Source organism: Homo sapiens, chromosome 6 (genome assembly GCF_000001405.40).
Source record: "Homo sapiens chromosome 6, GRCh38.p14 Primary Assembly".
In the NCBI taxonomy this organism is placed as follows: domain Eukaryota; kingdom Metazoa; phylum Chordata; class Mammalia; order Primates; family Hominidae; genus Homo; species Homo sapiens.
The window spans coordinates 83405317-83420896 of NC_000006.12; the positions used below are offsets into that span (position 1 = coordinate 83405317).

General features: G+C 37.0%; 1 protein-coding gene across 1 annotated transcript in view; it reads right to left on the reverse strand.

Moving 5' to 3' along the window:
• ME1 (malic enzyme 1) overlaps positions 1 to 15580 on the reverse strand; it is a 220650-nt gene that overhangs the window by 194915 nt on the left and 10155 nt on the right. Inside the window, exon 2 of the mRNA NM_002395.6 lies at positions 2452 to 2585. Within this exon, the coding sequence (NP_002386.1) occupies positions 2452 to 2585 (134 nt within the window). The remainder of the gene's footprint in view (positions 1 to 2451; positions 2586 to 15580) is intronic.

The window sequence follows — 15580 nt, forward strand, 5'->3', positions numbered from 1 at the left end:
TGGTGTGAAGGAATACTTGTGACTTTTGCACATTGATTTGATATCCTGAGACTTTGCTGAAGTTGCTTATCAGTTCAAGGAGTTTTGGGGATGAGAGGATGGGGTTTTCTAAATATAAAATCATGTCATCTGCAAACAGACTATTTGACTTCCTCTCTTCCTATTTGAATATGCTTTATTTCTTTCTCTTGCCTGATTGACCTAGCCAGAACTTCCAATACCATGCTGAATAGGAGTAGTGAGAGAGGGCATCCTTGTCTTGTACCGGTTTTCAAAGGGAGTGCTTCCAGCTTTCGCCCACTCAGTATGATATTGGCTGTGGGTTTGTCATAAACAGCTCTTACTATTTTGAGATATGTCCCATCAGTACCTAGTTTATTGAGAGTTTTTTTTGTTGTTGTTGTTGTTTTTTTTTTTTTTTTTGAGACGGAGTCTCGCTCTGTCGCCCAGGCTGGAGTGCAGTGGCGGGATCTCGGCTCACTGCAAGCTCCGCCTCCCGGGTTCACGCCATTCTCCTGCCTCAGCCTCCCAAGTAGCTGGGACTACAGGCGCCCGCCACTATGCCCGGCTAATTTTTTGTATTTTTAGTAGAGACGGGGTTTCACCGTTTTAGCCGGGATGGTCTCGATCTCCTGAACTCGTGATCCGCCCACCTCGGCCTCCCAAAGTGCTGGGATTACAGGCGTGAGCCACCGCACCCGGCCAAGAGTTTTTAACATGAAGCGATGTTTAATTTTGTCAAAGGCCTTTTCTGCATCTATTGAAATAATCATGTGAGTTTTGTCATTGGTTCTTTTTATGTGATGGATTACGTTTATTGATTTGCATATGTCGAACCAGCCTTGCATCCCAGGGATGAAGCCAACTTGATTGCGGTGGATAAGTTTTTTGATGTGCTGCTGGATTCGGTTTGCAAGTATTTTATTGAGGATTTTCACATCGATGTTCATCAGGGATATTAGCCTGATGTTTTCTTTTTTTGTTGTGTCTCTTCCCAATTTTGCTATCAGGATGATGCTGGCTTCATAAAATGAGTTAGGGAGGAGTCCCTCCTTTTCGATTGTTTGGAATAGTTTCAGAAGGAATGGTACCAGCTCCTCTTTATATTTCTGGTAGAATTCAGCTGTGAATCCATCTGATCCTGGGTTTTTTTCGTTGGTACTCTGGCCTCTTCTTTTTAGAGTACTAATCCCATTTCATGAGGGTGCCATTTTTACGACCTAATCATCACCCAAAGTCCTCACCTCCAAATAACATCACACTGGGGATTAGATTTCAACGTACGAATTTGCAGGGGGACACAAACATTCAATCCATAGCAAACATGGTGTATCAACATTTGGTCAAACACTATTCTGGATGTTTCTGCACAGGTGTTTTTGGATGAGATTAACATCTAAATTGGTGGACTTAAATAAATCAGATTACCCTCCAAAATATGGGTGGGCCTCCTCCAAATGGCTGAAGGCCTTAATAGCACAGACAGACCTCCTGTCTAGCAAAAATAAATTTTGCCAGCACACTGCCTTTGGACTCAACTGCAACTCTTCCTTCAGTCTTCAGCCTGACAACCTACCTGAAGATTTTGGATTTAACAAGCCTTCTCCCTCTCCTTCTTTCTCCCTCTATCCATTTATATTTATATTTTCATTCATACACACACACACACACACACACACACACACACATCCTATCAGCTCTGCTTCTTCGGAGAACCCTGAGTAACACCCTGATTAACACCAACACTTATTTGATATTGAGTTGGCTACCTCTTTTAACCCTCACAACAATCTTTTCAAATAGCTGTTGTTCTCTCTAATCCATGGATGAAAAAAACTAAGGTCTACAAAGGCTTAGTACCTTAGTAAGAAAGAGTGGAGTCAAAAACAGACAGCAAAGCAGTTACAGTCGCCATGGCAGGGCCTGTAGTGGTTGCTCAAGGATCTACTGCTAGTGAGATAGAGCCTGAATTTCAATCTAAGGTTATCTAAACCCAAAGGTAGGGAAAAATATTATATTTATCTTTGTGCAAATACAGAAACTGAATACACTATCCAAAGTAAGTGACCTAAACTTGCAACTGTGTTGGAACAGAGACTGGAGGCTAGAAAAGTGTGCTTTCAACTACAATATACTTAAAGTGTGACTAAAAGCCACTCTAACCTGTTTTATTCTGTTCAGGATGGCATTTCCTGATCATTTGCTTTTGCAGTATCATATGATAAACATGGTCTGTCTGAGCACGCAGTTTAGAAAGCAAAATTTTATTTCATTCAAATGTTCCTAAAGAGAGTAAATTTTTTAAAAACATCATTGTGTTTACAGGAAAATTCTTCTCAAAGTTGGCTACCCTTTCCAAATCATTAAATGTTTTCATTTTCTCACCCAATAAAAAATAAACTAGACAACTGCATAAGAGAAATATAAAAACCACCTTCAGCAATGTGTTACCTGTCAAAGTCAGAGTTCAGATGCTCGAAATTTTTTACTACTCTAAGAACCTGGATCTCCTGACTGTTGAAGGAAGGTGGCAACAATCCATGAATGTTCAATTGCTGTCTCTCTTCCAGGGTAAAGGCCAAGTCCTATAGAGAAAAAACACACACACACACACAACAGTATTTGAGAGGAAAATAGACAAAAAGCATACATATAAAATCTGACAAGTATATGCAATTAAAAATCCGAAGTCTGCGTCACTGGAAGCATGGCCATGTGGCTGTGAGTAAACCATGTAAGCTCTCCATATCTCAGTTTCCCTATCTGTAGAAATTAGAATACTATAATATTTCAGAGCTGTGCCACTCAGAGATAATTAGGATAAAATCAGATGATGAATGGAAGGAAACTACTTAAAGACACAAAAATGAAAGAAGATATAATCATTATTATCAATGTCAGTACATATAAAAATAAAAAGTCATTATTAGAAGAGATTTTAAAATTATGAATGTGAGTAAGTCACCTGTGACCTGCTGTGATTCCACCTTTAAAATAGGTCAGGAAATGCCTTATATGATTCTGAGTTACCTGTTTCAACATTCCTCTCCCAAGTTGTAGCCTTTGATTCTTATGTACTCCTAGGCATACAAAACTTCTCACCATTGTCCATACATACCACACCCTTTTATTCTTCCATGGCACATGGTCAAGATATTCTTCCCTGTTTCTCTGCCCTTTATGTCTTACCTCAAATGCTTCCTCCTGTCTAAAGCCTCAGTATATCCATTACAACCCTATTATTATACCTATGTTACCTGTTTACATGAACATTGATTGTATAAAACAAATGATAATAACAAGCTATGAAGCTCAAAAACATGAAAACTAAATAGAAATTATGCATTGATGCATAAACCATAATGGACCTAAGATATTTGCTGGCATTAATACAAGACAAAGTAATATCAGAGCAGCTCCCGTAGTCATTAAGAAAATGATGTGGTAGATTGGGATAAGGAGTCCCTCTGGAGAGGCATCTGATTGGAGACACTGAAGCCCAAGAGACTTCTTTATCTAGACTATGACTGCTGTTCCTCTGGGTCCAGGATAAGTACACCAATATGATATGATAGTTGGTGTTATGGTCTGAACATTTGAGTCCCCCAAAATTCACATTGAAATCCTCACCCCCAAGGCGATGGCATAGGAAGAAGGGCCTTTGGGAGGTGATTAGGTCATGAGAGCAGACCCCTCATGTATAGGATTATTACCCTTATAAAAGGTACCTCAGAGAGCTTTTCACCCCTTCTGCCATGTGAGGACACAGCAAGAAGACCACTGTCTACAAATAAGGAAGCAGACCCCTCACCAAACACCAAATTTGCAGTACCTTGATGTTGGACTTCCCAGCCTCCAGAGCTGTAAGAAATAAATTTATTTTGCTTATAAGCCAGCCAGTACATGGTATTCCGTTATGGCAGCCTGAAGGGACTAAGATAGTTAGTTTTGCTCATTGTCACTACTGCTATCTCTAATCAACCTGGATAGGTAAGAATGTGTTCATTAACTTTGCACTGAGTGATTCTACAATCATTCCTCTGTCCCTGAAAGCTTCTTGCAATGACAGAATAGTGGCTCTTGAGTACTTATAAAGTGTATTACTAGAGGGAAAGGAGAGACAATTCGGTTCATCCCACAGGGAGGTGACAAACCCTGATTGGTTAGGAATAAACACGTCCAAACCCAGGAAGTTTGTGAAAGAGGTCAATGAATGAACAATCCTCTCTTTCTTCTAATTTTTCATATAGATATACCCATTAATTCATGTCACTGATGGAAAGGTTTGTGTTTAATTAGCCTCCTGGGTTGAGGGCCAGACTGAAGAGAGACAAATTGGTCCACTGAATGACGCCATGATAGAGCTCTCTGAGATAACTGCAAGAGCGGGCTGGGACCAATGGTTTCAGAATCTTCAGCGCAAGAAGCAGTGCACAACCTTCAATTCTCATAAGGTCTCTAAGTGCTATCACCACAGCTGGTGTCTAGTTGCAAGATATTTTTCATTAGCAGCCATTCTCATAGCTGCAAAAGCCCCCATTGTTACAGTTGGGCGTCCTCTGAAGTTCAATTTGTGTGGACAGCAGCAGAATGGTCTCTTTCCAAGAGGATAATCCAGTATGTTCAATTGTGTCTGGACCAATCATCCTCTCCTGGACCTAAATGGCAGATGGTACAATCTGTCAGTCCTTTACCCAGCAGTTCCAGCTGGCACCAGGAGACATCCGTGGTATCGCCTGAAGTCTTTGCTTGCCATTTACTTTTTTACTTTTGGTTTGCACCCCCACAACAGAATGAAAACTCCACGGGGCCACAGAATTTTGTTTTCTTCACTGCTTTCTCCCTAGTGCTTACAACAGTGCCTGACATAAATAGAACTCAGAAATTTGTTGCAATAAAATTTTAACATAGTCAATAGAATATTTATAATTCATTAGAATTTATTATGAGAAAATTTAGAATTCATAGAAATTTTCAAACATTCAATTTTAGAGATATTAAAATTTATAAAATCTATTAAATTGCTGCTCAAAAACCTGATTAGCATATTCATTCTGATCAAATTACTTTTAAAATTCAAAGCAACAAGAGATATTTGTATGAAAAAGTAATTTATAAAATGGAAGACAAACTTCACTTGTTGAAGATATAACTGGGAAGACAACATTTAAACCAAAATGTCATGAAATAACTCCTTGGAATGAAACAAAATTATGGACAGTAATATATTTGAAAAAGAAAGAAGAGAAAACTCAATAGATTTTTATCTAACTAGAAAATGAAAAGGGGAAAGGAAAGCTGGCTAAAGTCTCAAAAATATATAAATATATGTGAAGAAGCAGTAAACTTCTGAGTGTTATGCCTTGAAAATCTGCCCAAAAACATAATAATCAAAATATCAATATTTTGATAAGTCTTGTGAGATGTACTAACATATGCCCTTTCATTCCCTTAATAATGGCACTTAACAACATTTATTGTTATAGTTAGCCAGTCTTTTAACATAAATTTTCCAATGGCATGTTCTGAAACTGATTCCTAAATCTAACGATTCTCCATATCTTATGCCATGTAAATGATAATGCCATCTGGAAATCTTTTTATATTCTTTGATGTTTAGCAACTACAAACTCCCATATACCATTAGCCAAATTTTCCAAAACACACTAAAGTGCCAATTCAATCCTTTTAAAAACAACAGCAACAAAACCTAGGGCTTAGAAATCTAGGGAACTGGGCCAAGTTAAAATCCTAGGATTGTGGAGAAAAATACTCCTATGGGCCGGGCGTGGTGGCTCACGCCTGTAATCCCAGCACTTTGGGAGGCCAGGGCAGGCGGGAGTTTGAGACCAGCCTGGCCAATATGGTGAAACCCCATCTCTACTAAAAATACAAAAGTTAGCCGGGCGTGGTGGCATGTACCTGTACTCCCAGCTACTTGGGAGGCTGAGGCAGAAGAATCGCTTGAACCTGGGAGGCGGAGGTTGCAGTGAGCCGAGATTGCGCCACTGCACTCCAGCCTAGGTGACAGAGCAAGACTCCGTCTCAAGAAAAAAAAAAAAACTAGTCCCATGACTGGGTTTACATTCTATTACCACCCTTTACAAGTTAAAAGAACATCAACAAATAAGTAAACTTAAATCTTAAAATCCCTGAAAAAATTTAAAATGGATATTGTATTATTTCTTTAAAGCCACAGTTTCTATTTTTCATACTAACAGAGACATATTCATTAGAGATATATTTTGTAGAAATTTATAAACAGGTCAGTTATGTGTAAAGTTTGAAGTAAAATAGTTCAAAGAATTTTTACCTTAGCATTATCCTGCAGGGCCTATCCAACAAAGGATAATTAACCCAAATTATACATGCAGGTTCTAACTGTCATTTGATTTCTACCAAGTCTTTCATGTAGTTGAAGATATCAGACGTCTATATAGATATATTAGGTTTCCAGACCACCTGTACATCTAATTCTCTAAAGACATCCTCATATATGCTAAGTTTGATCCTGGTTTTTCTCCTTTTTTGTCTTTTCTTTGCTTTCCCTATTCCTTATAAAACCTTTGGACTAGATCCCTAGACAGCAGAATGGTACGTTGTTTCACTGCTAAGGGCAGCAAACAGGGCAACTATTCTTCTGGACTGTGCTAATTAACCTATGTATATCTTCTTGACAAAACTGAGACTGTCAAGCAGAAATGAAAAGAAAATTCCTGACATGACGAAGGACTTATATTAGAAATGATATTTGCAGGGAGCAAGCATAACTGAGAAAGAAACTTTGTCCTGAGTAATTTATCAGAAACTATTGCCATAAAAACAGAACAAATATATTCTGTATTCCGCACTAACAATCCTTAATATTTCCAATGAATGACTTTTTTTCCCTGAAAAATTACTAAATCAAGCTGAATTGCAAAAAAAAAGGAAACATTTATCTTATTCATAAAGATCTTTAAGACAATTAATCTATACATGTATGAAAATTCATTATGGTAACAGAACTTATAATTTAAATATTTGAGGCTATGATTATATTACGGCAGAGATGGTTTGTGTGTTCTGTTTAACTAGTGTAATCTCTAGTGTCTAGAATAATACTTGTGTGGCACTTCATAGGCAATCAAAAAAATGTGTCGGATTAACTAACTAATGATTAATTAATTATACTTGTTATAGTACATTTTGGAGAAGACAAAGCAGAAAAGAGAATAAGGAAGGTTAAAAATGGTAGAAAGGCAAATGGAAAGTAATAATTGCAAATAATTTGAAACAACAAAAGTCCTTCAACTAGTAAATGGATAAAACTAAGGTATATCCATACACTGAAATATTACCCAACAGTAAAAAAACAAAACTATTGATACACAAAACATAGATGAATCATGTTAAGTGAAAGAAGCCAGACTCAAAAGGCTACATACTGTATGATTCCATTTATATGACATTCTGAAAAAGCAAAGTTATATGAATAGAAAAAGATCAGTAGTTGCCAGGGACTGGGAGTGGAAAAAAGGGTTTGACTTCAAAGAGGGAGCAAAAAGAAAATGTTTTTCAGTGATAGAACCATTCCTTATTGTGGTGTTGATTACACAACATTGCATATTTGTCAAAACTAATAGAACTGTACATCCAAAAGTAAATTTCATTATATTGAATTTTATTAGACTCTATAGAGTCAATTCAGTAACTAATATTCTCTTTACTTAAAAAGAAATATAATTACAATGACTAAAAATTTGTTTAGCAAATTATTGATATATTTCATATTCCACCTCCTAGGCTCAAGTGATCCTCCTGCCTCAGTCTCCCAAGTAGCTAAGACAACAGGCACATGCCACCATGCTCAGCTAATTGTGTTTGTATTTTTTGGTAGAGACTGGGTTTCACCATGTTGCTCCAGACTAGGCTTGAACTCCTGAGCTCAAGCGATCTGCCTGCCTTGGCCTCCCAAAGTCCTAGGATTATTACACAATCAAATTAAACAAAGAATATTTTAGGCCAGGCACAGTGGCTCGCACATCCAGCCTAAAATATTCTTTATCTAATATGATTGTCTTTGAATCCTTTATGAAAATTTTTTCTTAATTTTTTATTTCAAATGAATTATATATATTTTATTAATGTGACCTTGCAAATAATATAGTAGATCTATCTTAAAATTATTTCTTCATATCAAAAAAGTTTTAGAATTAATTTTAATGCTAATTTGGGGGAGAAAATTATTTATATATAAAGAGTACAGAAAGAGGACCCTTTATATTTTTATTATTTATTATTCTGAAAGAGATAAAATTGAGCTTGTTTTAAGTGTCATATTTTCAATTTATTAACATAGTTTATGTGCATATTTTACATCTACATTAAGAGAATTGATACTAATTTGCCCTGAACACATTCTACTGAAGGGTTCCTTCCTCCAAGGCTTCTATAGTGCCAAAAATTGTTCTTTGGAAATGATTATTTTTAAATTCTAATTGATAATATAGATAACAATTTCTAGAATTGGCTGGGCATGATGCCTCACACCTGTAATCCCAGCACATTGGGAGGGTAAAGCAGAAGGATGGCTTGAGCCCAGGAGTGCAACACCAACCTGGGAAACACAGGGAGATACTACCTCCACAAAAATTGAAAATAAATTAGCCAGGTATGGTGGTGCATGCCTGTGGTCCCAGCTACTCAAGAGGCTGAGGTGGGAAGATCATTTGATCCTGGGAGGTTAAGGTTGCAATGAGCTGAGATCACACCATTGCACTCCAGCCTGGGTGACAGAGCAAGACCCCATCTTGAAAAAAAAAAAAAAAAAAAACTAAAAAAATTTATTTTTATGGTGGTATCCAACCTCATTTCCCCCCCAAAAAAAATCAGCCAGATGACATATGTATTTACACGGTAAAGTTTACATCAGAAAATAATCATATAAAAATAATTACTTTGAATGCATTTAACTATACAAACAAATTCTTTATTAGTCTCCTTTAAAGGACAGAAAACCAATTATTTAAGGCCAACAATATATTAAACACAGCTTCTTTACACAAAAGATCATTTGCTTTCATTCCATAGTAATTAATTTTTACTCATATCTGATATAAAGTAATTTTAACCTGTTAATGATTATAACAATATATCTAAAATATATTCAGCTAAGTCTTGGCCTTTGATACCCTAAAATTTACAGCAAAATATCACTTTATAGTACCCCAAAATTATTTCATTGAGGTATGAATATAGGATATAAGCAAGTGTAACAATTTTGTGATTTAAATGACATGTTTGCTTAAATTTTTTTTTAAAAAAAGAAAGAACACCTCTACCTAAGAGAGCAAATGGGTTTTTAAAACATTGGATGAGAGGTTTAAGTATTTCTCACTTAAAAGTCTTATTACTGATCGTTATAGATTCTTTGTAAGGCTGAAAAATTGTTAGCCAACAATGTCAACACTAAATTTTCCCAAATATATCTCTTGAAATCATTGAAATCATTTGAAAAATTTCAAAAGCTTTTCAGCAAGATGGAGCACTATTTTATCATAACAAGTTGTAAGGCAAATTTCACTGTCACTAAACCAATAGAGAAAAGTATCTGTTAAATAAGCAGATTGAGACTTCTCAGTAAATACCTGAAACTAGCAATGGACACAAATGATGAAAAATCAAAATTTAAGATCTTCAATTGAAACGTGTATGAATAATCCAAATAAACCACTGGTTGCCAATAGACTTCCTAGTTATCATACGTACCTTTATACTATTTTTTAAAATCTTATATATGTGACAAAATCCTCTATGCCTATGATAGTGTGTATAGTGATTACTCATATAATGAACCAGAAAGATCAGAATTATAAAATAATCCTCTATTGTGTCTTGATTTCTTAACTCTTCAAGCTAATAGAAGAATCTGCAGACTATGAACATTAGACAGCAATTCCAACACATTTAATTACCAATTAATTTACACACGAAGTTGCAAATGTCTGTTTCTTCCTGTGTCCTTTGCCTATTCCTGAATAATGATCTCCTTCAAGGGATAATTCTATCATAGAATGTCCCATAGTTCATTGTTTCTGCTTACCTGCCATTTTACCCAGGTCTGGAAGACAGGCACTATACTATTCATATTTGTATGACAGCACCTAGTACAATGTCGGGATGGAGCAGGGCCTTAATAAATTTTAAATAAGCAAATGGATGTATAAATACATTAATGTGAAACAAATTTTCAGTACTCTGTAGTTCGGTTCTGTGTAGTTCTATTTTGAATAACCAAATCACCGAATTCAAATTTCAAACAAAGATTTATTTATGCAATAGTACAAAGAGTGCTCATGATTTAAAAATCTCCCAAATAATAATTAAGCTTTCCACATATACCTTAGGAAATCATTTAATTAAACTAATCCACTATTAACAAGTTTTTTCATTGACTTTAAACCAGGCATTCAAGATCAACTTTGGTTTGACCAAAATATATATCTACATATCAGCATAAGTGCCAGAGTTTATGGGGATTTTTTAAAGTACTTTCATCTTGACCAGGTTTCTCAATCTTGGTACTAGTGACATTTTAGGACAGACAATTATTTGTTGTAGGCAGCTATTCAGTACATTTTTGGTATTTAATAGATTGTAATAAGCCATACACTAGAAATTTAGATGCACACTTCACCAACAAATATGACTGAATAGCAACATAAGACTAAAGGGTATACCATTTGTCAAGTTTGAGTCACAAGTAGATATTATTTAACACTTGATTTTGAGCAAATATTTAAGGTGTTAAGGGTTAAATGGAGATTTGCCTCAATTATTGCATCTGCTAAATAAGACTAATCAACTATTTACTGAACACATAGTACATGTTATGTGTGTTTCACTGGGTTGTTGGGAAGAAAAAAATGAGACCAGGTGTTTTTGCATCCTACGTAAATTATAAAGTGTTATATAAATGCTTATGGTACAAAGTTTTAAAATAAAGTCACTAATATGCACATGCTACATGAATATTGACTTTTATTCTTCACATTTCAGTATTGTCTGAAAGCCTCTGAGTTTAAGAATCAGTTTTCAGAGACCAAGGTCAGTGCTTCTGGTGAAGAACCAATTTAGCCCCCTATCAGAGGCTTTTAACTTAAAATTCACAGACCTAATCACAGATCCTCAAGGTATGGATGAGTAATTAAGGAGGCCTGAACTTGGACATCTTTTTCACAAACTCTATGAGATTTAGTATTTCCTTCCATTTTAAATGAAATAAACAAGAGACATAATAGTAGTTCCTGGCCAGGCACAGTGACTCACGCCTCTAATCCCAGCAGTTTGGGAGGCCAAGGCAGGAGGATCGCTTGAGCTCAGGAGTGCGAGACCAGCCTGGGCAACATAGTGAGATCCCCATCTCTACAAAAAAAAAGTAGAAAAAAATTAGCTGGGTGTGGTGGCATGCACCTGTAGTCCCAGCTACTTGGGAGGCAGAGGTGGTAGGATGTCTTTGGCCCGGGAAGTCAAAGCTGCAGTGAGTCAAGATCATGCCACTGCACTCCAGGCTGGGTGACAGAGTGAGATTTGTCTAAAAAAAAAAAAAAAAAAGTAGTTTCTGTGTCTTTGTCATAATAGAAATAACAATTATTTTTATGCCATGTTACATCTGTGGCATGTATCTGGAAATAACATTCATGTTCTTCATTACTTTGAAATTACTGTAGCTTTAGATCTGCAATAAGGTTTTGTTTTGCTTTGTTTTGCTTTGTTTAGAGACAGTCTGTTGCCCAGGATAGAGTGCGGTAGTATAATCATAGCTCACTGCAGCCTCGAATTCCTGGGCTCAAGCAATCCTCTTGCCTTAGCTTCTTGAGTAGCTGGAACTATACGCATACACCACCACATCTGGAAAAAAAATTTTTTTTTGAGACAGGGTCTCACTATGTTGCCCTGATTGATCTCAAATTCCTGTCCTTTGTCCTCAAGCAGTCTTCCTCCCTTGGCCTCCCAAAGTGCTGGGATTACAGGAGCCACTGTGCCTAACTAACATGTTTTTTTTGTTGTTTTTTGTTGTTGTTGTTGTTGTTGTTGTTTTGAGACGGAGTCTCACTTTGTCGCCCAGGCTAGAGTGAAGTGGCGTGATCTCGGATCATTGCAACCTCCGCCACCCAGGTTCAAGCCATTCTCCTGCCTCAGCCTCCTAAGCAGGTGGGACTACAGGCGCGTGCCACCATGCACAGCTAATTTTTGTATTTTTAGTAGAGACGGGGTTTCACCATGTTGGCCAGGATGGTCTCGATCTCTTGACCTTGTGATCCACCCGCCTTGGCCTCCCAAAGTACTGGGATTACAGGCATGAGCTACAACGCCAGGCCCAACTTTTTTTAATAACATGAACAGGCACACAGGCCAGTCATGCAGACAACCTTGATATTGATCTCTTTAAAAAATAAAACTTTACTTTAAATTGCCCATATTTAAATATATTATCTTGCTATATGAGTCTTCAATAAAGAGGAATATATCTTACAATACACACTTGTAAATATATTTGTTAATATTTTGATACCTATATTTAATTACAAGTGGTTTCCTTTGTAATATTATGTATACTGTTTATTTAAAATCATTGATTTAAGGAGACCACAGACTTCATCAACTTTCCAACTTTTGTGCCTTTGGCACAAAATATGTTGAAAACTGTTGCAGAGGACTGTTTCAGTTTCTTAAGGGATATATACCTCAGACATGATATTCCCAGAAACACCACAAGATGGCTTTCTTGCTTCAGATCCACTGTGGAGATTTGCAGAAATGTTTTCTCTCTGCTTTTACAGTTACTTTATGGGCGGTTGTGAAGCTCGCTGTATTGGTCAGTTTTCCTAAGAAACTGAACCTTTATATATATGAAGAGATTTATTATGAGAGAAATAGTATAATTGGCTCACATGATTATGGAGGCTGACAAGTCCAAAGACCTGCTGCCAGCAAGCTAGAGACCCAAGAGAGCCAATGGTAATGGTGTAGATCCAGTCTGAAAGCCAGGAGGTTCAAGACCCAGGAAGAGCCCACATTTTAGTTTGAGTCCAAGGGCAGGAAAAATTTGATGTCCCAGCTTCAGGACAGTCAGGCAGGAGAAGTTCCCTCTTACTCAGCTTTTTCGTCCTTTAACTGATTGGATGAGGCCCACCCACATTAGGGAGGGCAATCTGCTTTACTCAGTTCAAATGTTCATCTTATCCAGAAACACTCTCACTGACACTACAAGAGTTACAAGAGTAATGTTTGAACAAATGTCTGTGCACCCTGTGGCTTAAGCAAGTTGACAGATAAAATTAATCATCACACTCACAGATATCATTGAGTGAATGCTTACAATGCATACAGGAACTACCCCAACGAAACAGTGGCTTGTCAGGTATGATCCATAGTCTCATTAGGCTTACAATATAAAGAGCTTAACAGGATATTATATGAAAAGCTACACAAATAACTATAACAATTGTGATAAGTACAGGGAAAAGAAAAGGAAGAACTTAATTTAGACAGTTAGAGAAATAGTTCACTGAGGAGTAATGTCAAAATGCAATCTGAAGGATGACTAGAAAGAGTAGCAGTTGACCAGGTGAAAAGTTGGGGGTAGGTAGAGAAGAAACAGCATGTATATAACCCCTAATGCAGAAAAGCTTGGCTTCTCAGGGAAAGCGTAGGGAAGGAAACTGCACCAACTGTGAGAAATGATAAAAGATGAGCACTAGAAAGAAAGGTACGAACCTGAGTGGGCAAGTCCTAGTTAACCAGGTAAGAAGTTTCAAACATTATCCTAAGTATGGGAAGCCCCAGTACCTTTCCTGACTAGTTATTCCATTTCATAAAAATGTTGTGAGTTTAGCAATAGCCAACCCGCATGTTTATCACTCACCGTATTAAGGAATCCACATACTAAGGCTAGCTCAGATTTTAAAAAAACAAAAGGTGGTGGGTAGAACAATGCTTCAGAACTAGTTTCAGACTACCAGGCAAATCATAGATGGCTCAACCTGATATCATGATTCTTAATCTGTTTTCGGTGTCTCTATAAAATTCACATACATACTCCCACCTGAAACATTTTTCTTTATAACATTATCTCCTATCTACCACACTAAGGGCATATCTGATTCATGTCCTGTATCAATAACATTTTAACTTATGAAAATTAACTTTAAAAAATACTTCATACAATATCTCTAGTATATAATGAAAACACTGGTCACTGGCAACAGTGGTTGCCTTTAGGGAGGGGAACCAGCTAGCCCAGACACAGAAGTGGCAGACATACTTTTCACATTATTATATCTTATTTTTATAAAGCGAATCTATAAGACTATTTTTAAAATATTAAGAACCATTCACCTCAATTTTCAAGAATATTACATTCATATTTAATATTTTCATTTATTAAATCTCATTCCTTTTGCTTCTGGCAGCTCTGGCTATGGTAGAGACTGCTAATTGCCTACGACAACATCTATTTCCCTCTTCCTTTCCAGGAACAGAATCCTAATATTATTTGGGGTGGCAATGCATTAAATAAAAGACATTTCCTGACTCCCCTGTAGTTATATGTGACCATATGACAGAGTACTGAACAATGAGTCCTAAGTGGAAGTATCATGTGAAATGTGGGGAAGGCTACTTTAAAAGAGGGGACTTCACTGAAAAGCAGGCCTTCTTGTAATTCTCTCATTTCTTCCAGCAGCCATCTTGGAATGTGTAGGTGGTATCTTTTTTTTTTCTTTTGAGACGGAGCCTTGCACTGTCACCGAGGCTGGAGTGCAGTGGTGCGATCTTGGTTCACTGCAACCTTCACCTCCTGGGTTCAAGTGATTCTCCTGTCTCAGCCTCCCAAGTAGCTGGGACTACAGGCGCCCACCGCCATGCCCAGCTAATTTTTATATTTTTAGTAGAGATGGAATTTCACCATGTTGGCCAGGCTGGCCTCGAACTCCTGACCTGAAGTGATCCGCCTGCCTCAGCCTCCCAAAGTGCTTGGATTACAGGCATAAGCCACTGCGCCCAGTCTGTAGGTGGTATCTTTAGACCTACATACTCAGTTAGGACCATGAAGTGATCCTGAAGATGACAGAGCAGCAAAAGAGAAGCCTACGTTCCTGATGACTTTGTGGACCCACAGAACAGTTTATCTTAATTAAGCTGTATCTTAGTTAACTCACTTTTATTTTGCTTTTTTGTTATATGTAGCAAAACCTAATCCTAAATGATATAGTGGTCATCCTTATACCCATTAAGGAAAAGAGATTCTCCAACACACATTCAACAGCATATAAAAGAGGTTATTGTGCATTTATCCCACAAGGTAGGATGTGAACTCCTGAGAGGTTATAGCAATATCTGCAAGGTAAAACAGTGTTACTTCAAGAATAATCCCTGATTCATTCATTCAACAAATTATTACAGAATACCTACTACATTCCAGGCCCTAAGAGCAACTATGTTGAAAGATAAATCTATGATGCAAAACAGTATAACACTCCTTCCCACATCCACAGAGAAATTTTTGTTGTTGTTGTTGGGTTTTTTTGTTGTTGTT